At 40.2% G+C, this 22,133-nt stretch overlaps 1 pseudogene across 1 annotated transcript in view; it reads right to left on the reverse strand.

Moving 5' to 3' along the window:
* Positions 1–335: 335 nt before the first annotated feature.
* CCNYL2 (cyclin Y like 2 (pseudogene)) overlaps positions 336–22,133 on the reverse strand; it is a 64,067-nt pseudogene continuing 42,269 nt past the window's right edge. The window contains exons 5-9 of the transcript NR_103829.1: positions 21,278–21,313; positions 17,480–17,599; positions 12,925–13,091; positions 3,861–4,023; positions 336–2,355 (exon numbers count right to left, since the gene is read on the reverse strand). The product of NR_103829.1 is annotated as a cyclin Y like 2 (pseudogene) (transcript). The remainder of the gene's footprint in view (positions 2,356–3,860; positions 4,024–12,924; positions 13,092–17,479; positions 17,600–21,277; positions 21,314–22,133) is intronic.

Genomic DNA, 22,133 nt, shown 5'->3' on the forward strand with positions numbered 1-22,133 from the left:
GGCCGTGGCGGCGTGCGCCTGTAGTCCCAGCCACTCGGGAGGCTGAGACAGGAGAATTGCTTGAACCCGGCAGGCAGAAGTTGCAGTGAGCCGAGATCGCGCCACTGCACTCCAGCCTGGGCGACAGAGCTAGACTCCCTCTGAAAAAAAAAAAAAAAAGAGAAAACAAATATTACATCTTAAATACAGGCATGAATTAAACCAACTTGTGTATGGTCAAGGCAACTTACAAAAATGCTTTAAGACATATCAAGACTGATATAAACCATTTAAGTTAGGCAGAGATGCAACACTATGTGAATAGAAGTGTTATAAACACACTCGCCACATTTTAATTAGTTTACTAGGTTTTCTTTTAATATAAACATGAGAAATGAAAACCACATCAATTGTAGCATTTATTTTGAAAATAAAACTGCAATCAATACTCCAATCTCTAAGCTCTGCATTCCATAAATGATACTTTTTCAGGAGGTAGGATTCCTAAGGTTTATGGAAGTTCTTTTTAAATAGCAGGACATGAAATATGATACCTGCATCCAGGCTAACATGTGGGATAATAAAATGTATTGCATCACCTACTACTATTAGGGTCCAATTCCTTCTAATTTGTTACATATGAATTAACATGGATCCTCCTCTTTATCACATCTAGGGAAAATAATCTGAGGTGATCAATGCAGATAAAAGCCTTGCAAAGAGCTACTTTACAAGAGAAAAGGGCACTTTATAAAAACACAAGAATTCCAAAAGTCTTAGTGAAATTTTAAGCTTTGATACTTGTAGAAGTAACAATGCTACAAACATTTACAAATCATTGAAAAGCTTGTTGTATTTCTTTTACGTTTATTTAGTTTTGCCATTTTTTAAAGTGACAGTGTCTCATTATGTTGCCAAGGCTGGAGTGCAATAGCTATTTACAGGCACAATCACAGTGCACTGCAGCCTCCAAGGCTAGGCCTCAAGTGATCCTCCATTTAAGCCTCATGAGTAGCTGGGACTACAAGCATGCCTAGCTCCTGAGTATTAAGCTTTTAATTTATTGTTTCAGTCCTTCTTGAAGATAGCAGATATTGACTGAAACAAAAGGTTAAAAGTTTAACATTCAAATTCTGCAAAATAAAGCCAGAGGCAGTGGTACACACCCATGGTCCCAGCTACTTGGTAGGCTGACATGGGAACATTGCTTGAGGCCAGGATTTTCAGGCTGTGGTGTGCTATGATTGTGTCTCTGATTAATCATTGCACTGTAGCTTGGGCAATATAGTGAGGCATCATCTATTAAAAATAAAAAGAAGAAATACAATTACACTTTCAAATGATATTTTGTAAAGATTTACAGCATGTATACATATGCTGCAGTCCTCTGGAGGGCCCAGGCACACTATATTAAAGCTAAAAACTGCCCTGAAACTTTCAGGACACCTTGTATTTTATTATTTTTATATAACCACTGGACCACCATGCTGCTTGGCACTATGAAAACATCTTTGAATACATTTACTTAATAAGAAAATTTATCAGCAAATGAGAACCATTATAGTTCATAAGAAATACACCATAGAGCTTCATAAAAGTAGATAATCAATAACCAATACTTTCTCTTTTTATGACCCCCAAACATGCTAAACTGCTAATAAGAAGGGCTTACAAAGGATACGAATGGCAAATGTTAATTGGCAGCTTTTGCTTGATGATCGCCAGTAACTGTAGCTTCCATGGTAAAAGTAGGAAGAAAGAGCCCTTCCATACCTGACAATGCTGGGACTGCTCCTAGTGGCTTTAGGAGTTGTTAGACTCCCATGTTTTAACAGTGATACTGCACTGATTCCAAATGCATATGCAGGAATATTGGGGAAAAGAAAAAAACATAAAAGAAACAGAAAAGTTATCTTTAAAATCTAAAAAGTTAAACTATTGTTTTAAAAGCCTTACATAGTTCACAGCTATCAGCCCACACATTAAGCAAATATCTGTACGTGGGCAGGAGTCTTCACTTTGAAGTGGTTTTTATAACTCTGTTTACATTAAACAGGACAGAAGAGTGTAAGAGTGTGTTGTTGCCCTGACAAGGTCCCATTCTTTACTACGAAGTGCAATCTTAGTTGTCCTTGAGTTAACTTGAATTGAGGTGTTTCTTCTTTAGAAAATACCAACTTTTCTAGTTCTTTAGCAGGAGAGGTGATATTTTCCTGTCTTTTTTGATGAGGGGTTCAGATGTTAAATTACTCCTCATTTCTTCCTTCAGAAGAGGATGGCCTTAGCACGCTGAAGATGAATTAAATCATCTGCACTCAGAGACCCATTCTTGGCAGCACTGTAGAAAACTTTGTCTTGTTCCATCCTTGAAAAAGCCTAAGAATGTCAAATAGAAAAGAGGTACAATTTTAAAAAGGTTTCCAATCTTTTAACAATCACCACTGATGATAAGCCACACATGCAGACTCCTTTAGATAGTTCAGTTACAGCTACTTTTTGTTTTTTTTGGTTTTTTTTTTTTTTGAGAAGGAGTCCCAGGCTGGAGTGCAATGGCACAATCTCGGCTCACTGCAACCTCTGCCTCCCAGGTTCAAGCAATTCTCTGCCTCAGCCTCCTGAGTAGCTGGGATTACAGGCGCCTGCTAGCATGCCCAGCTAATTTTCATATTTTTAGTAGTGACGGGGTTTCACCATCTTGGCCAGGCTGATCTTGAACTCCTGACCTTGTGATCCACCCACCTCGGCCTCCCAAAGTGCTGGAATTATACGAATGAGCCACTGCACCCGGCCCAGTTATAGCTACTTTGGCTGAGGTTTACACTGCCAAGTTTTGTCAACTCATTAAGGTAATCTCAGGGCTAGAATTAGATTGCTGGAGCAAAGGGGAACTTGTTTTATTAAGTTACTTAAAAATTGGGCTCCCAAAGATGTCACAGTATTGTGACAGGCTTCTAAGAGCAGTATCATGTTACCTGTGCACTTGTTCCTTAAACATAATGAATGTACACTTTTGCAAAAAGTTAGTTTATTAATCTACTTAAACTCTACCCAATCTACAGTAGTTATTATATACTTTAAGCAAATTTTAACGATGCAGGCATGTGCTGGATTGTATTGAAACATCAAAGAAGTCTAATGACTCAAGCATCAAAAGGCACTACTTCACTTGTACATTAATTATGATAGAAAATGTATTATTTTAAAATACTTCCAAGGTACCACAAAACATGCCTATTTTAAATGTTCATCCTTGTCAGCTGTAACTCTGCTGTGTACTTACCAAAAGTCACAAACCATAAATATTACTTTGTCTCATAAAAGTTATCATTTCCAGTAAAATCCCATGTATTTCCTGCATCCAGTATTTGAGACGCGCACACCTTATACAGTCTAAGTGCAGGTCTCTTGGCTTAGGCACTAATGCTTTGTCTAACAAACCCATGGGACTGACTGCACTGTGGTATATACAGTAGGAAATGACATAAATTTGCAAACTGAGTAATAAAAAATAGTCAAGAGTGGTAAGTGCATTATGTATGTAGACATTGCTTGGAATACAATAAAAGAAATCATTTATATATGATGATTTGAAAGGGTAAAAGTTCAAAAGGGAAAGATTACAAATGAATTAAATTTGACTAAAATATTCTGAATTATGCTCACAAAAGAGAAGATAATATCTATAATTTCAAATAATGTGGATCTTTGTAAAAACCATAAAAGATACAGGAAACAGAATGCCAAAAAGGTAATAAGCTCTTCAGTATGTTAGTTAATTTTGAAGCTTTCCATTTTTCTAATCACTACTTAATATGACCTAGTCACAGATGTTGGCATTGGTGTTTGACTGAAAACCCACCTTAGTAACTTCGTAGCCTTACCTCCAGCTTCCAAGCTCTTTCTCTGTCAAGAAGATAAACTGGTGAATACAGGCCGTTGTTGTGTGCCAAGGTGCGAAGATCGAAGTAGAATCTGCTATAAACACTGTTAGTAATGCTGTTATTATAATTAATTAGCTTCAAGAATTGCCTTTCCAACTCATTCCTGGGGAAGGAGAAACACAACAAAACCAACACAGGACAATGTTAGTTCAAAAACATTATTCTCGTGTAAGAAATGTGGTAAAGTCATCATGTGCTCTAGTTTATTAGAACACATGAAAGAACTCACACTGTACAGAACCCTATTGATCTAAGAAATACAAGAAAGCATGCAACTTTCCCAGTTCTCTTTGAAAACTTAGAAAAACAAAAAACAACATGAATGTAAAAACTGGGTTAATAACGCGATTATCTCACGTGCTTTCAAAGACATATTTGAATTTAATATGGAGAAAAACGACTTAATCTTAAGAAACATGGTAAAGCCTTCAGCTTTTTCATTTCTTTGAAAACATGAAAGGATTCAATGGAGAAAACCCTTGTAAATACAAACATCCATGGTAAGGCCTTCAGTTGTTCCAGTTCCACATGAAGAACAGAACTCATTTCTGAAATAAAACCTGTGAATGTACAGAATGTGGAAATGCCTTCATGTACATGATATTTGCTCCAAGACCCATGATAACACACACTGTAGACAGACCTTACAAATATAAGAAAGCACACTGGATTGGAACCCTAGTAGATTACCAAATTCAGAAAAGTTTTCAGTTTTAACAATTTCTTCAACATTTATATGAAAATTTCCCCTACAGGGAAATCCTCTCCGTGTTTCGAAATTGGAGAGCCTGATGCAAACTGATTATGGCATAATCTTAAAAAATGTGCATAAGTAAATGTTATACTACTTATAAATATTTTGTTTCTCAGTGATTCTTCATTTGAAAGGGTCTCTGTCCTTACTTCCACTTCTTTTGCAAGAAAACACTGAGGTCAAAATTTTGTAGATACTCCTTAAACAATATTAAATGAATTTAATAGGCAGTGTTTTTTTGTTAAGTCAGTTAATAAAATTTTTCTCTGTTTATTTAAGAATATCACACTGAGCTACTAGAATAGCTCCAAATTCTTTTTTGAAACAAATACAGGCTATGCAGGTGGATTCCTACACTAATGTCCAAACAGGGCACAGCTGCTTGCAGTCCATTCTGCATCCAGCACCCCAAGTTTGGGATGAGGAGAAAGGGGACAGCCTTCTCTGCACTCGTGCAGCTGACTCAGGGCTCATTCTTGAGGGTTCCATTGCACAACTCAGACTCCATGGTCACTCCCAAGGCACCACAATAGTGATCAGATGACAGAAATGATGGATGCCATTTATTAGCTGTCACTATTACGGGGCAGGAATACTCTTTACATTTCAGACGGTAGAAAGATCAAAGAGAAACACCTTGGCTAGACTAAACCCATTTTATGACAAGCCTTTTGGTAGGGTTCTGGCCTTACACAGTGTTTCTCCTAAGTTGGAAATGAAACCCCAAGGTGCTCAGCACCTGTCACCCCTGGCCAGAACAGAGTGTGGGGATGAATTGAATGCAGTGAGAGGGGAACAGGCTGGGAGCAGCCCTCTGCCAAATGATTATTCAGCTGTCCCGGCCGAAGATTTTTGTTTGTTTGTTTGTTTTGAGACAGGGTCTTGCTCTGTCGCTCAGGCTAAAGTTCAGTGGCATGATCCTAGCCTTTCAAGTAGCTGGGACTACAGGTTCATGCCACTTAGCTGGGCTCTTTTTTTAAAATTATTTTTGTAGAGACAGGCTCTCACTTGTTGCCCAGGCTGGTGTTAAACTCCTGTGATTAAGTGATACTCCCACCTTGGCCTCCCAAAGTGCTGGTATTACAGACGTGAGCCACTGTATCCAGCACTTTGTCAAATGTTTAAATAAATATAAAACTAGAGTAATCTTACCACTTTCATAGTAATCCCCATAAAGACTTAACTGTATAAAAGCAATTAATACCTCAACAACATATTTGGTTTCTTGGTTTTAAAGTTTTATCCATTGGCTAAGTCAACAAATGCTTGCTGTTCTCTGGTATGGAAAGCAGTTAGGATATAAGCAGATATATGGTTTTCTCATTTGTTTAACTGAAAACCCCACTGAAACTACTTCTAACATTAGTTTCCTATTCATATAACCATAAGACTATAGGAATGTAAATCAGATAACGCTTTAATAATCAGCTAATCAGGAGTTAATTTACTATAGGAATCTATGCACTTCATAATCTCTTATGTTTTTCCACAAACATATTTTAAATGTGTAAAATACAGTATTTTATATAATTAACATGTTTATTAATAGAAGCTTAGTTATTGAAGAAAACCATTATGCCTACAGGATATGTATCTTCTTAGTTTTTTGTTGTTTTTTAAATGGCTAATAGCATACCCTTTACCGGCGCAGCAAATTTTCTGAATAGGAGCTGCTCAGTTTAACTTATATGTATGTATGTATGTGTGTGTGTGTGTGTGTGTGTGTGTGTGTGTATATATGTGTGTGTGTATATATATATGTATGTACATATACATATATATATACACATATAAAATCCTCATAGCTTAGCTCTCACCTATAAGTGAGAACGTATGATATTTGGTTTTCCATTCTTGAGTTACTTCACTTAGAATAATGGCATCTAGCTCCAACTAAGTTGTTGCAAAGGCCATTATTTCATTCTGTTTTATGGCTCAGCAGTATTCCATGGTGTATATATTCCACACTTTCTTTATCTGTCCATTCATTGATGGGCATTCCATATTTTTGCAATTGCAAATTGTGCTGCTATCAACATGCATGTGCATGTGTCTTTTTCATATGACTTCTTTCGCTTTGGGTAGATACCTAGTGTGAGATTGCTGGATTGAATGGCAATACTGTTTTCCATAGTGGTTGTACTAGTTTACATTCCTATCAGCAGTGTAAGTGTTCCCTTTTCACCAAATCCATACCAACATGTACGATTTTTCAATTTTTAAATTATGGCCATTCTTGCAGGAGTAAGGTGGTATCACACTGTGGTTTTCATTTGCATTTCCCTGATAATTAGTGATGTTTCTGAAGGAAAATATATTCTAAGAAGACAAACAGATGTTGAAAAGTTTTAAGAAAAATCTGATAAACACTAATTTTTAAATGGTTCAATTTACAGTCCAAAAGAGATCTTTACAATCAACAGTAGAGGGACAAGATAAATGTACATTACACACTTTGTTGCAATGTTTTACATTTTCTAAAAATCGTGAACATAGCTCCTGTTCAGAGCATAGATCAAGGTGCTTCTGCATTCACAAACAGCATTGTGTAGAACTGGAGCTGGCTTCTGCCACCACTGCTTCTGGAGCTCACATCTGTGGAAACCTGCACATTTCTCTGGATATTCTCTGACCTTGTAACTAGAACTAGAGCCCCACCGGATTAGCTGCAGGTTTTGAGAACAATTTAGCTGCCATTATAGTGGAGCTAAGTGTTCATAATTACAAATTTTGCTGCCTTCAAGAAACCAGTTTACAGATTGATGACAGTAGTGATTAAGAGCACTTTAGCTTCTGCAACTTTCAAAGTACTTCTATTTGTTTCAAATTCATTTTCTGTTACATCCTTTGCTAAAATGGCTACTAGCAATATCACCGTGACAACTCAGTTTCTACTATTAGCAAAGCAGTAATTTAGCAGCCATTTCAAAACCAACTGACCAACACTAGTGAGTCTCTTCTTAGTCACAAGAATCCTCAATTCACTGGTAAATATACAGTGTAGTAATTCTGAATGAAAGTCTTTAAAAATGTTTTTGGGGTATATTATAAGTGTATATATTTATATGGTATATAAAATATTTTGATGACTATGACGTGTAATAATCACATCAGGGTAAATGAAGTATCCATCATGCCTCAAACATACCTTTGTTTTACAAATAATTCAATTACACTCTTTTAGTTACTATAAAATGTACAATTAAATAATTCTTGAGTGTTGTCACCCTGTTGTGCTATCAAATACTAGATCTTGTTTATTCTTTCTAACTATATGTGTGTACCTATTAACCATTACCCCTTACTCCTCATCCCCCATACTACTTTTACCAGCCCTGGCTAACAGTTCTCCTACTCTATATCTTCATGAGGTAAATTGTTTGAGGCCAGGCGCAGTGGCTCACACCTGTAATCCCAGCACTTTGGGAGGCCGAGGCGGGTGTTCGAGACCAGCCTGGCCAGCATGGTGAGACCCCATCACTACTAAAAATACAAAAATTATCCAGGCATGGTGGCATGAGCCTGTAATCCCAGCTACTCGGGAGGCAGAGGTAGAGGAATCGCTTGACCCCAGGAGGTGGAGGTTGCAGTGAGCCGACATAGCACCACTGCACTCCAGCCTGGGTGACAGAGCAAGACTCCATCTCAAAAAACAAACAAACAAACAAAAAAACTGTCTTAATTTTTACTTCCCACAAATAAGTGAGAACATGTGAAGTTTGTTTTTCCGTGCCTGGCTTATTTCATTCAACCTTTCCATCCATGTTCTTGCAAATAATAAGATCTCATTCTCTTTTACGGTTGAATAGTACTTCATTGTGTATATGTACCATATTTTCTTTAGCCACTTATCTGTTGATAGACACTCGGAATGCTTCCAAATCTTGGCTGTTGTGAATAGTGCTGCAGTATACATGAGAGTGCGGGTATCTCTCTGATATACTGATTTCCTTTCTTTTGGGTATATACCCAGAAGTAGGATTGCTGGATCATACGGTAACTCTATTTTTAGTTTTGAGGAACTCCAAACGTTTCTCCATGGTGGCAGTACTTAAATTACATTCCCACTAACCATGTATGAGTGTTACCTTTTCTCTGTATCCTCACCAGCATTTGTTATTGGCTATCTTTAGAATAAAAGCCATTTTAAGTGGGGTGAGATGATCTCTCATTGTAATTTTGATTTGCATTTCTCTGAAGATCAATTATATTGATGTTGAGTATCTTTTCATATACCTATCTGCTATTTGTATGCCTTTCTTAGTTTTGAAACAGGGTCTCACTTTGTCACTCAGGTTGGAGTGCAGTGGCACAATCACAGCTCACTGCAGCCTCAACCTCCCAGGCTCAGGTAATTTTTGCACCTAAGCTTCCCCAACACCTGAAACCACAGGCACGTGTCATCATGCCTGGCTAATGTGTCCTCTTTTGAGAAATGCCTATTCAGATATTTTGCCCATTTTAAAAATCAGATTAGATTTTTTTCTATGGAGTTCTTTGAGCTTCTTAAATATTCTGGTAATTAATCCCTTGTCAGATAGTTTTCAAATATCTTCCCCCATTCTGTGTGTTGTCTCTTCACTTAGTTGATTGTTTCCTTTGCTGTGCAGAAGCTTTTTAACTTGATGTGACCTAATTTGCCCATTTTTGCTTTGGCTGCCTGTGCTTATGAAATATTCAAGAAATATTTGCTGAGTCCAGTATCCCAGAGAGTTTTCCCAATGTTTTGCTTCATATTTCAGGTCTTAGATTTAAATTTTTTTAATTTTTAATGTTTTAAAAAATAGAGACAGAATCTCACTGGTTTGCCCAGGCTGGTATTGAACTACCGGGCTCAAGCAATTCTTCTATCTCGGCCTACCAAAGTGCTGGGATTACAGCCGTGAGCCACCGCACCCAACTGAGATTTAAATCTTTAATCCATTTTGATTTGATTTTTGTATAAGGTGAGAAATAGAGGTCTAGTTTCATTCCTCTGCATATGAATATCCAGTTTTCCCAGCACCACTTATTGACAAGACTGTCATTTCCCTATCATATGTGCTTGGCACCTTCACTGACAATGAGTTCACTGTAGATGTATAAACTGGTTTCTGGGTTTTCTATTCTGTTCCATTGGTTTATGTGTCTGTTTTTATGCCAGTGTCATGCTGTTCTGGTTACTATAGCTATAGAGTATAATTTGAAATCAGATAATGTGATTCCTCCAGTTTTGTTTGTTTTTTGCTCAGGATAGCTTCGGATATTCTGAGTCTTTTGTAGTTAAATATAAATTTTAGAATTCATTTTTTATTTCTATTTCTGTAAAGAATGTCATTTTTTTTTTTTTTTTTTGCAGACTTGTGGAGGTACCACATTGGTGGTCTGAGATCAGACCTGAAGGAATTCTCTGGGTTAGCAGACAGGGACTCACTTCTTCTCTTACTTTCCCACAAATGAAGTCTCTCTCTCTGTGCTAGGCTGCCTGGGGCTCAGAGAGGAGCAATGCAAGCACCCCTGTGGCCACCACCTCTGTGACAGCACTAGGTCTGAAGCTGGCACAGCACTGTGGCGGGCCAAGGCCCACTGTAACACCTACCTGCTGCCACCTATTTCACTCAAGGCCCAGGGGCTCTACAATTAGCAGGTAGTGAAGCCAGCCAGGCTTCTGTCCTTCCCTTAAGTGCAGTAAGTTCTCCTGGTCCCTGGATGGGGTCAGAGGTGCTGTCTGGGAGCCAGGGCTGGAGTCATAAACCTTAGACATCTACCTGGTGCTCTGCTCTACCATGGCTGAGCTGGCACTGAATCCACCAGGCAAATCCATTCCCACTCTTCCCTCCCCTTTCCCCAGGCAGAGTAGTCTGTCCCCACATATATCGTCAACACAGTCCCATGGGGATTACTGTCAGGTCACCACTGATTCTCACTCAATGCTCAAGTGCTCTCAGTCAGCCTGTGGTGAATGCTGCCTGGCCTGAAACTCACTCTTCAGGGCAGTGGGCTCCCCTCTGGACCAGGGTAGGTCCAGATATGCCATCCAAGAGCCAAGGCCTGAATTGGGGACTCCAACAGTCCACCTGGTGCTCTTCTCCACTGTAGCTGAGCTGGTATCTAAGCTCAAGAAAAATCCTCTTAACTCTTCCCTCAGCTTTTCTCAAGCAGAGAGAGTCTCTCCTCACAGCCACCACAGCTGGGAATGTGCTGGGCCACACCTGCAGCCAGCACATCTCTGAGTCTCACTCGAGGCCCATGGCATGTACTACCTGGTCACCACTGATGATTCTTCAGGGCCCAAGGGCTCTTTCATCAGAAAGTGATGAATCCTGCCATTACTGAGTCCCTTTAAGGCATCAAGTTCCCTTCTGGCCCAAGGTTTGTCTAGATATGCTATCCTGAAGCTGGGACCTGAAATGGGGGTCTCATGACTCTGACCAGTGCCCTCTCCTACTGTGGCTGAGCTAGTATCCAAGTTGCAAAACAAAGTCCTCTTTCCTCCCCTCAAGCAGAAGAAAGAGGTCTCTGTCAGACCTGTGAGCTGCACTGTCTAGGGTTGGAGGCGGGGTGGGCAAGCACTCCCTAGCTGCCCCAGTTGCTGTCTCTGTAGGTCACATGCCCCTAAATACACTGGCTTCAAGGGCAGCACAGCAGTCCTTGTGGCCTAGACAGACTTTCAGGTTTATTAAGGACCCCAGAGTATTTTATCCCACAGTAGCCAGTAGCCTTTCACAACTCAAGTTCCAACCAGTGGCATGAAAAATTCCTCTCTGGCTAGGGCTAGTCTAAATGCTTCCTCCGTGGGTGGGCATTGGATGAGCACAGCCTTGTTTTGCTTTCTGCTATGACAAGGCAGCACTGAATTTAGTGCAAAGTCCCACAGTTGCTGTGCTCTCCATCCCCCAAGCATGTAGCCCCTCTTCTCACCACAGGTCCACTGCTAGGACATGGGGGAGGAGTGGCATCAGCAATTCAAGACTGTCTTTTCTACACTATTCAGTGCTTCTTTCAGTGATATGAAGTTAAAACCAGGTACTATGAATGCTTACCTGATTTTTAGTTCCTATGCAGGTGCTTTTTTTATTTAGACAGTTGCTAAATTTGCTATTCCTGCGGGGAGCACAATTGGCAGAGACTGCTATTCAGCCATCAGGCTCCACCTCTGTGAATGCATACATTCTGAAAGACAGTCTTAACTGGAGTAACAGGAAAATGTAAAAAAAAAAAAAAAAAAACCCAAAACCTCTTGCCACTGCCTGTCATGATCTTGGATCTTCATATGGTGCTCAATGTCATCAAGAGGTATTCCTTCAGATTTCCCTAAATGTCACCCACAAAGCCATTCTCGCTGTCTAGTGGACACTGTGACAGCCTCTGCTGGAAATGCCTCCCTGGCTCACTCTGCCTACCAGCTCCAAGGCCCTTCCCTTTACAACAGTCATGAGGCCAGACTGGAAGAAAGACCCCATGAAGTTTCTGTTTCAGCATCATGTTGGTGCCATCTGTGAGCAACCCCATGACTCAGCAAGATTTATTGCACTCTCACAGGTAACTCGGGGCCCCCAAAGTGCTGCTGTGGTTTTATGAGTGCCCCAGGAACCTCCTGAGTGTGGTGAGCACTGGGTGATGCTCCAGCAATATTTCTCAGACTGCCTGAGGGGAACACTGGAACTTCTAACTCATCAGCCCAATTTCTAAACACATGCAACACTCCTACTGGGATGGGACAGGGACACAGGGATCTGTGGCTATTCTGTATCTCGAGGTTTCTATAAAACAGAACTTCAGATAAAAGCAGGGGGAACACCAGCAAAGGCAAATTCACAATGTGTAACTCAGGGTGAAACTACACAGTTTTCACAGTCCAGAGGCCTTAGACCTGTCACTGGCCAAATAATTATTTCCAAGGCCACACATGTGCTCCTTACAAAGAGACTGGAACTTGCACACAGCTTTGAAAAAGCCATAAGATATTTACTGTACTATTATGTTCTGGTAGTACACTGGTAAGATAATGCCAAAAATATTCACCAGAAAAATACTTTTCAATTTATGAGCAGATTATTAAAACATCAATTTACCAAGACCTACCAGCAAACAATGAAAAATATGAACTATTGTTCTAAAGCTGGATGGAAAAATATGTGGTGTTTAGGCCCATTTTCATTATCTGCACAACGTAAGCTTTAAAAGTATTTCTTAAAGTATTTAAGTTTATGGGACCACATAAAGTACTGAAAAATGGTTACAAAGTTCACAAAAACCATACAAACTCACATTTCTTCAACTGTAATGTTCTTAAAGAGCTTGCAGTAGTCCTCATTCCACACAGCCATATCACTCCAAACCTTGGAGGCAAGAAGAATGGCTCCCAAGACAATCCTCTTCCAGTTAGTTGGACAAATGTCGATATCAGCATAACTTACAAGTCTTTCTATGTAAATCTGCAAAACAGAGCACTGGCCTTTGATTTAGCTCAGTTTAAGTGCCAAGAATTCTTATGAATGACAGATTTCTTCTGGTTTTGACCAGAAAGTAAGTGCTTATGTTCTACAGAGATTTGCTTGATCAGACCAAACAAGTGGCCATATCACAATTGTAGGTCAGATACTTCTGCTACCTACTCTGCTCATAGAAATTCACAGCCCAATTTTGGTCACAAGAATGACCGTATATCTCAGTCAAGGGCATCATGAAGACAGGCAGTGCTGTCACCTTCACACTCATAAAAGACAGCAGACATGCAGGCCCAGTGTGGAATAAAGTCATTCAATAAATCCTTAAGTGCCTACATATGTAATGTCTCACACGGAGCTGGTAGGTAGATGGGAATTTTATAAGTACGTCAAGCTTGAATATGTAAAACCCATGTAATAGTGAGCAAATGTTAACCTTCTTCTCACAAAAACTCACCCTTCTGTGGCACTAGCTTTAAAAACTGCTGATCAAGAGAGCCTCCCAGCAGCTGCTGTGTAGAGCAGCATGGCAGGAGCAGGTCTGTGGGGTTGTAAAACATTCCCCATATTCAGTTGCTCACTTGGTAAGAAACACATGTGTATAAAGGATGGTCCTTCTCACAGCCCCTATCTTGCACATCTTCATGATCACTTCAAAAAATTTATTCTGTCTTACATCACCTGCAAATTAGACAATTCTGTTGGTTTTAAGGTGGAAACAGCTGCCAGTCTCTGTATCCCTGGGATTCCTCTACACCTGCCAGGCAGTTGGTGAGACAATCCCCTGAATTACTTTACATCTATCAAACATCTGTCCTACAAAGAATTGAGCAAAGTGAATAGCTGAGTAAACATTAAAGGTGAACTGTGAGGTGTTGTTACCTCAGAGGGTGCTCTGCAGAACAGTATGTCTGTGAGCTACTTGAACTGTTTACATCGAAACAAAAGGAAAAAACTTTATATAAATAAGCAAGTTTATTTCTTGTCTGAAGGGTATCAGATTGCAGAACACTGCCAGATCTGATACTGATCTGAACACTGCCAAACTCAAGTATGTTTTCAAAAACAAATGGCTATTGAACATGAAATTTTACAGATTCCACTCCCTTTCTCCCAAACTCTGCACTCTCAAGTATTTCAAGAGTGAACCTCCCTCCCAGGGTTCAACTGCGTAGGAATCAGAGACCTCTGAAACAACATGGCAAGCCCTCTACTTCCTGTCCCCTTTCCTGCTAAGCTGCTGACCTGCTGACACTCATCCATGCCACGTGCCCTTCTGGGTGAGTTTGAGAATTCTTTATTCCCACTGATGCCAACTCTTCCCTCAGTGCAGTTGATCCCATCTCACTTTTGCAGCACACTGTTCCCACAATCACCTCTTTCTGAAGATTTTCTTCCTCTCTACCAGAAATTTCCTCCAAATTGTGTTTCCTTTGTCCCCATCCCACTCCCCACTCCTCTCCAACTGTGTCCTCTCACTGATGCTCACAGCACCATACCCTCATACCAGCTCCTCATCTTCCATCTCTCCTTCAGCTACACTGCCTGCCCCTGCTGACATGACTCTCCCAAGGCTCCTCTTGCCAACAGGCACTTGTCTCTTGTGTCTTCACGCTGACAAACTAAAGCTCTGCATACATTGCCATTTGCCTAGGTGTTGGGGCCAAATACCTGCATTTCAGTTCCCCTGCTCCAATCTGTGTGCAATGCCTCTTACGTCTACCTTCACTGGTGGTCTGCATGGTTTGATGGTGACCCACAGTCTATCACTGCTCACCTGTATTACCCTAGTTGCTTCTTAACCCTCTTCACTGCCTCCACTCTGCCTCCCAACTATAGCTTACTGTCCCCAAAGCAGCCAGCATAACCTCTTCATTTAGAGCATGGCACTCCCCTGCTCAAGATCTCCCCAAGAGCTTCCCATCAAACTGGAGTAAAACCTTAACTTCTTCCTACAGCCTACAAGCCAAAAGGCCCTGTGAGCTATGGTACTGCCTGAAGGGCCTCATCTCCACTCTTTCCCTCATTCTTCACTCTGACTATGCTGGTCACCTTGCTGTTTGTTCCTCAAACACACATGAAATGCATTTCTGTCTGTCTTGGCAGTCATCCTGCTGCCTGTAATGTCAGCACTCTTTCCCGTCGCGCCTTCAGTCAGGTCACTGTTCTAATGTCAGCTCTCTAGAGAGGCTCTTCCTTATCTGTCTACCTAAAATAGCCCCCAATCACTCTGTATCCCTTTATCCTGCTTCCTCTTCCTGCTGTTTCATACACTTAAGTTCCATCTTCCTAGAATATAAGCTCATAAAAGCAAGAACTGTGTTCCACCTGTCCTCTCCTCTACCTCCGCACTTAGAAGAGCGGCACAGGGTCAGCATCCAGTGAGTGTTCACTAATCAGTCACTGCTTGGCAGCATTCAGCACTGTGACTACAGCTTCTCCTATCTTGAACTCTTTCTCCTTTTATTATCCTCTTCTGCTTTTCCTCTTCCCACTCTAGTAGACACTCTTCTGGGGGCTTGTCCCTTAAATGATAATAGTCTTTACCAACCTATATTCTGTCCATTTTATCTGTTTTTGAGACAGGGTCTCACTCAGTTGCTCAGGCTAGAGTGTAGCCTCCACCTCCTGGGCTCAAGTGAACTTCCTGCCTCAGCCTGCCATGTGCCTGGTGCCACAGGCATGTACCATCATGTCCAGCTAATTTCTTAATTTTTTTTTTTTGTAGAAATGGGTCTCACTTTATTGCCCAGTCTGGTCTTGAACTCCTACACTTGAGCAATCCTCTCACCTTGGCCTCCCAAAGTGCTGGCATTACAGGCATGAGATACCGTACCTGGCCTTACTTTTTGTTTTCTTAAGATGCAGGGTCTCGGCTGGGCGCGGTGGCTTACACCTGTAATCCCAGTACTTTGGGAGGCTGAGGCGGGCAGATCAGGAGGTTAGGAGATCGAGACCATCCTGGCTAACATGGTGAAACCCCGTCTCTACTAAAAATACAAAAAATTAGCCGGGCGTTGTGGCGGGTGCCTGTAGTCCCAGCTACTCGGGAGGCTGAGGCAGGAGAATGGCGTAAACCTGGGAGGTGGAGCTTGCAGTGAGCCGAGATTGTGCCACTGCACGCTCCAGCCTGGGCAACAGAGTGAGGCTCCCTCTAAAAAAAAAAAAAAAAAAAAATACAGGGTCTCATCATCTGGCCCAGGCTGGACTTAAACTGCTGGGCTCAAGTAATTCCCCCACCTCAGCCTCCCAAGTAGCTAGGACTAAAGGCATGAAACCACCATGCCCGGCTTGTCCAATTTCATTCTACACACTTTCTTGGTATTTAAACAGCTGCCGTTGCTCTTCATTCTGTAGCTCTATGTCCAATTCATGCTCTAGTCCTGTATATCCAAATGATGACTAGACTGTGCTACTCTGCTCTCTCAAAGGCACACCAAGCTTAGCCTATGTACAAAACTCTCCCTTTTCCAATCCAGCTTTCCCTCCTGCATCACCTATCTCTACATCTGGAAACACCACTCCTGCTTCCCTCTAGCATGTGCTAACAGTCCCAAATGACTTGCAGCTTCTCGAGAGGACTGTATCTGGTCCAGTGCCCTTTGAGGGCTTTGATTCAGGTGCACAGCAGGAGCCTTCTCCCCTAGAATCTAACTGGTTGCTAAACAAGTATTGACCTAAGTATTTTTTCATTCCTGGCCATGCAGTTGACTTTCCTCTATAGGTTTGTTGTGGGGAGGAGTAAGACTATTTTTAACAATTTGAGCAGAATTTATTATTTAAAATGATAGGTTTACAAAAGGAATTTGTAGGGATAATGTAAATGTAACGACACAGCTATGGTTTGGTAGACCAACTGGAACCACATTCCTGGGCAACTTCATGAGCAAGCACAGGTGATCAGCAGGGATAGATAAACACACATCATCCAAGGAACAAAGAATTGAGGGCAGCAGCTGTCAATGACAACATGCATCAGAATTGCCTGGGGATATACCCTGGGACTCAGCTTAGACCTACACTGGCATCCCTTCCTGCCCATCAGCCAGATGGTTTTGTTACTGCTCCCCATTCCAAGCTGTCCACATGACCTGGATGTGTGTGCACTGTGTGTGCATGTGTTTATTGATGTGTTGGGGGAGAAATCAGAAATCCCTCCTGCTGCCTTTAATAGCAATTGTTCTGTGATGAGAAAAGCAACTGTGACATTTTAAGCCATAATGATGATTCAACTAAAATGTGTGTATTTGCTTTCAAAAGTTTCTCTTAAAATTCTGAGATAACTTCAGAAACCTACTGTATTAAAAAACAGGACCATACCACCCTGTTTACAAGAAGAACTTCTAAAGCTGCTTTATAAATAGAAAATATCTTACCAAACTTACGATTGCAAACTCAGCTGTTAGCCTCATGGCTTTAAACAGAGTACGAACAAATCTGAAGATCAATTTGTGTTCAGGATCATACTTAAAATATTCCTCCAAAACCTCTTTTCGCTGAAAGAAGAAAGGATGCAATGTAAGTATCCATTGAAGAAAAAAACCTGAGGTGCTCTTAAGACAGCAGTGTTCACATTTGTGCCCATGTGTCACTTACGATAATTTTGATTGGTGAGATGTCTTTTAGTTTTTTACAATATGAACAGCAGGATCCTGAAATACCATAATGATTTAATACTCATCCACATTCACTTAAAAATAATATGAGCTTAAGCTCAGAAAATGTTTATATTCTTTTTTACCCTTTCCCTCACATAATTCCATCCAAATGTAAGCTACTCCATCCAAATGTAAGCTTTAATGTCTTACTGACTGTATGTCATACTTCTCTGCAATAAACTTTGAAAAAATATAGTTACCTGTAACCATGAGGCTCTAAGCCTGTGCTGATAAATACAATAGTCACTAGCCACATGTGGCTATTATGTACCTAAGGAAGTACATTTTTAAATTTTTACACCATGTAAGTTGATATAAACTTAAATTCTTCTTCTTTTTTTTTTGTTTGATTTTTTGAGACAGATTTTCACTCTTGTTGCCCAGGCTGGAGTGCAATGATGTGATCTTGGTGCACTGCAACCTCCACCTCCTGGGTTCAGGCGATTCTTCTATCTCAGCCTCCCGAGTAGCTGGGTTTACAGGCACATGCTACCATGCCCGGCTAATTTTTATATTTTTAGTAGAGACAGGGTTTCATCATATTGGTCAGGCTGGTCTCAAACTCCTGACCTCCGGTGATCCACCCGCCTCAGCCTCCCAAAGTGCTGCAATTACAAAGGTGTGAGCCACCACAACCAGCGAACTTAAATTATTTTTAACCCTCTTCATAAAAATCATGCTTCTTTGTTAAAAGTATTTACATATACTTATACTGCTTGATACTATTAACAATTATCTTTTAAAAAGATATGTTTTCTGTTATTTGGATAGTATATTTACTCACATTAGCTCACTAATTAAACATACCTGCAGATCAGTTCTTATTCCAGCATGTTCTTTTTACAACACTTTTAAAATAAGATGACTAGATGCCACATGAAATGGGGAACAAGACTTAAAGAAAGATGCCTTTGACTGCGGGCACGAAACAGATACAAATCTATGATGAAAATACAGACTCAGGCTGGGCGTGGTGGCTCACCCCTGTAATCTCAGCATTTTGGGAGGCCAAGGCGGGTGGATCATGAGGTCAGGAGATTGAGACCATCCTGGATAATATGGTGACACCCTGTCTCTACTAAAAATACAAAAAATTAGCTGGGTGTTGTGGCAGGCATCTGTAGTCCTAGTTACTCGGGAGGCTGAGGCAGGAGAATGGCATGAACCCAGGAGGCAGAGCTTGCAGTTAGCCGAGATTGCGCCACTGCACTCGAGCCTGGGCAACAGAGTGAGACTCCATCTCAAAAAAAAAAAAAAAAAAAAAAACAAGAAAGAAAATACAAACTCAATAAAAGTGAGACTTACTGGGCCGGGTGCGGTGGCTCACGCCTGTAATCCCAGCACTTTGGGAGGCCGAGGTCAGGAATTCAAAACCAGCCTGGCTAACATGGTGAAACCCCATCTCTACTAAAAATACAAAATTAGCCGGACGTGGTGGCAGGCACCTGTAATCCTAGCTACTTGGGAGCCTGAGGCAGGAGAATCGCTTCAACCTGGGAAGCAGAGGTTCCAGTGAGCCAAGATGGCAGCACTGCACTCCAGCCTGGACAGCAAGATTGAAACTGCATCTCAAAAAAAAAAAAAAAAAAAAAAGTGACACTGTAAGTGGGTGTAACTGTTCATCAAATATGCCCAAAGATCTATGTGCATCTCTATAAAATAAGAATGTGTATTACTTCAAAAACTGTTAATATCTTAGTATAATATCTGTTTAGTAAAATAATGCTTCCTATGTGCCTATGTGCTTTGGTGTTTACTTCACCAAAGCAAACAGTTTTTACAAATTCTCCTTGATACTGACTTGCGGAGGGTTTCCTGACCTCTTCTTCCTCAGCATAGCATGTCCTGTACTGTGAAGTCTTTTATACCATAACCAGTTACAACTGCCTGTAAGTATTGACCCTCCCTAACAGGCAATGGCAATAAACCAAACACATTTTCACTCCTCGAACCACACACTGAAACACAAGAACGTTTTACAAAGCAGTAGTGGTGGGCAATAATCTCTTTAGAACTTTAATAAATGTAAATGTGATTCAGATTTGCTAGCTTCCTTTAATTTAAATTACTAAAAATAATAAATACATCATGAGAATATACTACAGAGAACTAAAGAGAAACATCAGTTTCATTTAAAAATACAACCGGGCCAGCACAGTGGCTCACACCTGTAAAATCCCAGCACTTTGGGAGGCCAAAACAGGCAGATCACTTGAGCTCCTTTAGGAGTTCGAGACCAGCCTGGGCAACATGACAAAACCCTGTCTCTACCAAAAACACAAAAAAATTATCCAGGCATGCTGACACACATCTGTGGTCCCAGCTACTCAGGAGCCTGAGGTGAGAGGATTGCTTGAGCTGAGATCATGCCAATGGACTCTAGCCAAGTGACAGAGTGAAACTCGGTCTAAAAAAAAGGTACAACTATCATTCTCAAAAATAAATGAAGCTGTCACTCATTCACAAGGAAATGTGTCACTCATGTCACAAGGAAAATAAGTATTTGTTTCCAGTGATAGAATTTAAGCTTTCCTGAAGACTTTGAAAAACTTGTTCCTTCTACTGTAAGCTTGACAGCTTCTCAATACTTAAGGATGTTTTAAAATAAAATTGGTGGTTAAATTAAAAAAGTCCTTTTTGATACAATAAAACATAAACCAATATTTTCCAAATAACTAATGCATAATATTATAAATGCAAGTATGTGGGGAAAGAACCATTTATTGTGCAAGAAAGATCGGTGAGTACTGAGAATACATTTGCTAATATGTAAAATGCCACTGTAACTAATTTAAGAAACTAGCACTTGTGAAGTTTTGATTTAGTATTAAAGAATACCCACAACTGTCTTAAAGCTTTAAAAATACACCTTTTACCAACTACATATTTGCATGAGGCTAGGTCATCTTATTGCTTCTTTAAAGCAAATTGCAAAGAAAGAGCTAGAGAATCCAGCTGTCTTCTATTAAGCGCAACACTACAGATTATCAATAATATAGATACATGATACACTTTTTACTCAACTTTTCATCATAGAAAAGTTATATTTTCTTTTAAAATTTTATGTTAACAATATTGTTCTCAAGGAATATTTTCTATTGTCACAACCTGGGTCATGGGTTACTACTGACATCTAGTGGGTAAAGGCCATCAGTGTTGCTGAATTTTCTGTAATGCACAGGACAGTCTTCACAACAAAGCATTATCTAGCTCATAATATCAATAGTGTTAAGACTGTGAAATCTAAACTAAAAATAGATTTTGAAAAAAATCTCAAGTTTATATTTCTATCAGAGTAAATATCAATATAATCAATATAAAATCATACTCATTGGGATACTTAATCATTTAAGAATTTAAAAAGTCTCAAGGACCAAAGAAAACACAAATAATTTGCTTCGATATTTTAGTAGGCACAATACAGCTTATGATGTCTAGAGCTATGATCTAACGCTGAGCTTAATATCATGCAAAGTAATTAGCCAGAATAACAAGACAGGTTTTAAAAAAGCTCACCTTTGCTTGATATGATAATATAGTGCCAAGGTCACACTGTGGAAGGAAAAAAAATATTCATAACAATAAATGTTATCATTTGTTAGGCTTGAAGACATTTTTTAAGAGGGGGGCAGAGGAAACTCTCCTAGCGGCTCTGAAATTCAAATCTTATAGTTCAGAACAGTACCATAAGGGCACTTTCTTATTTTCATTTCTTGGCTTTTAGCAAAAATATGAGAACCAAAATGCAAGGCAGTATGCTTTTAGAAGACATGTTTCTGTTGTGATTATAATATATAAATAACAACATATTTCCCTGTTATATGCTCTTCTACCCACAAAACCTTTCATCCCATGCAATTTATTTTATGCATTTATCTATTTTTTGACCCAGAGTCTCTCTCACTCTGTCACCCAGACTGAAGTGCAGTGGCGCGATCTTGGCTCACCAAAACTTCCACTTCCCAGGTACAAGGGATTCTCAAGCCTCAGCCTCCCAAGTAGCTGGAACTACAGGTTTGCACCACTATGCCCAGCTAATTTTTCTATTTTTAGTAGGGACAGGGTCTCGCCATGATGGCCAGGTTGGTCTCAGACTCCTGGCCTCAAGTGATCCACCTGCCTCGGAACTCCCAAAGTGCTGGGATTACAGGCATGAGCCACCGCACACAGCTTCATGCAGTTTACATCTATGTGTCCATATGTTTAAGCCATACAGTAGTGTTTTCTTTTTAAGATGTTAGGCCCTGCATTTTAGTTTAGTTCACTATCTCCTACCACCCATTTTTAATTATTTCCCTAAAAATACATAATGAAAGTGCTTTATAAAAAAATTATTTGAAATCACTTTTGCATAATTATTTAAAAATATATT

The sequence above is a fragment of the Homo sapiens genome, chromosome 10 (genome assembly GCF_000001405.40).
Source record: "Homo sapiens chromosome 10, GRCh38.p14 Primary Assembly".
NCBI classification, from domain to species: domain Eukaryota; kingdom Metazoa; phylum Chordata; class Mammalia; order Primates; family Hominidae; genus Homo; species Homo sapiens.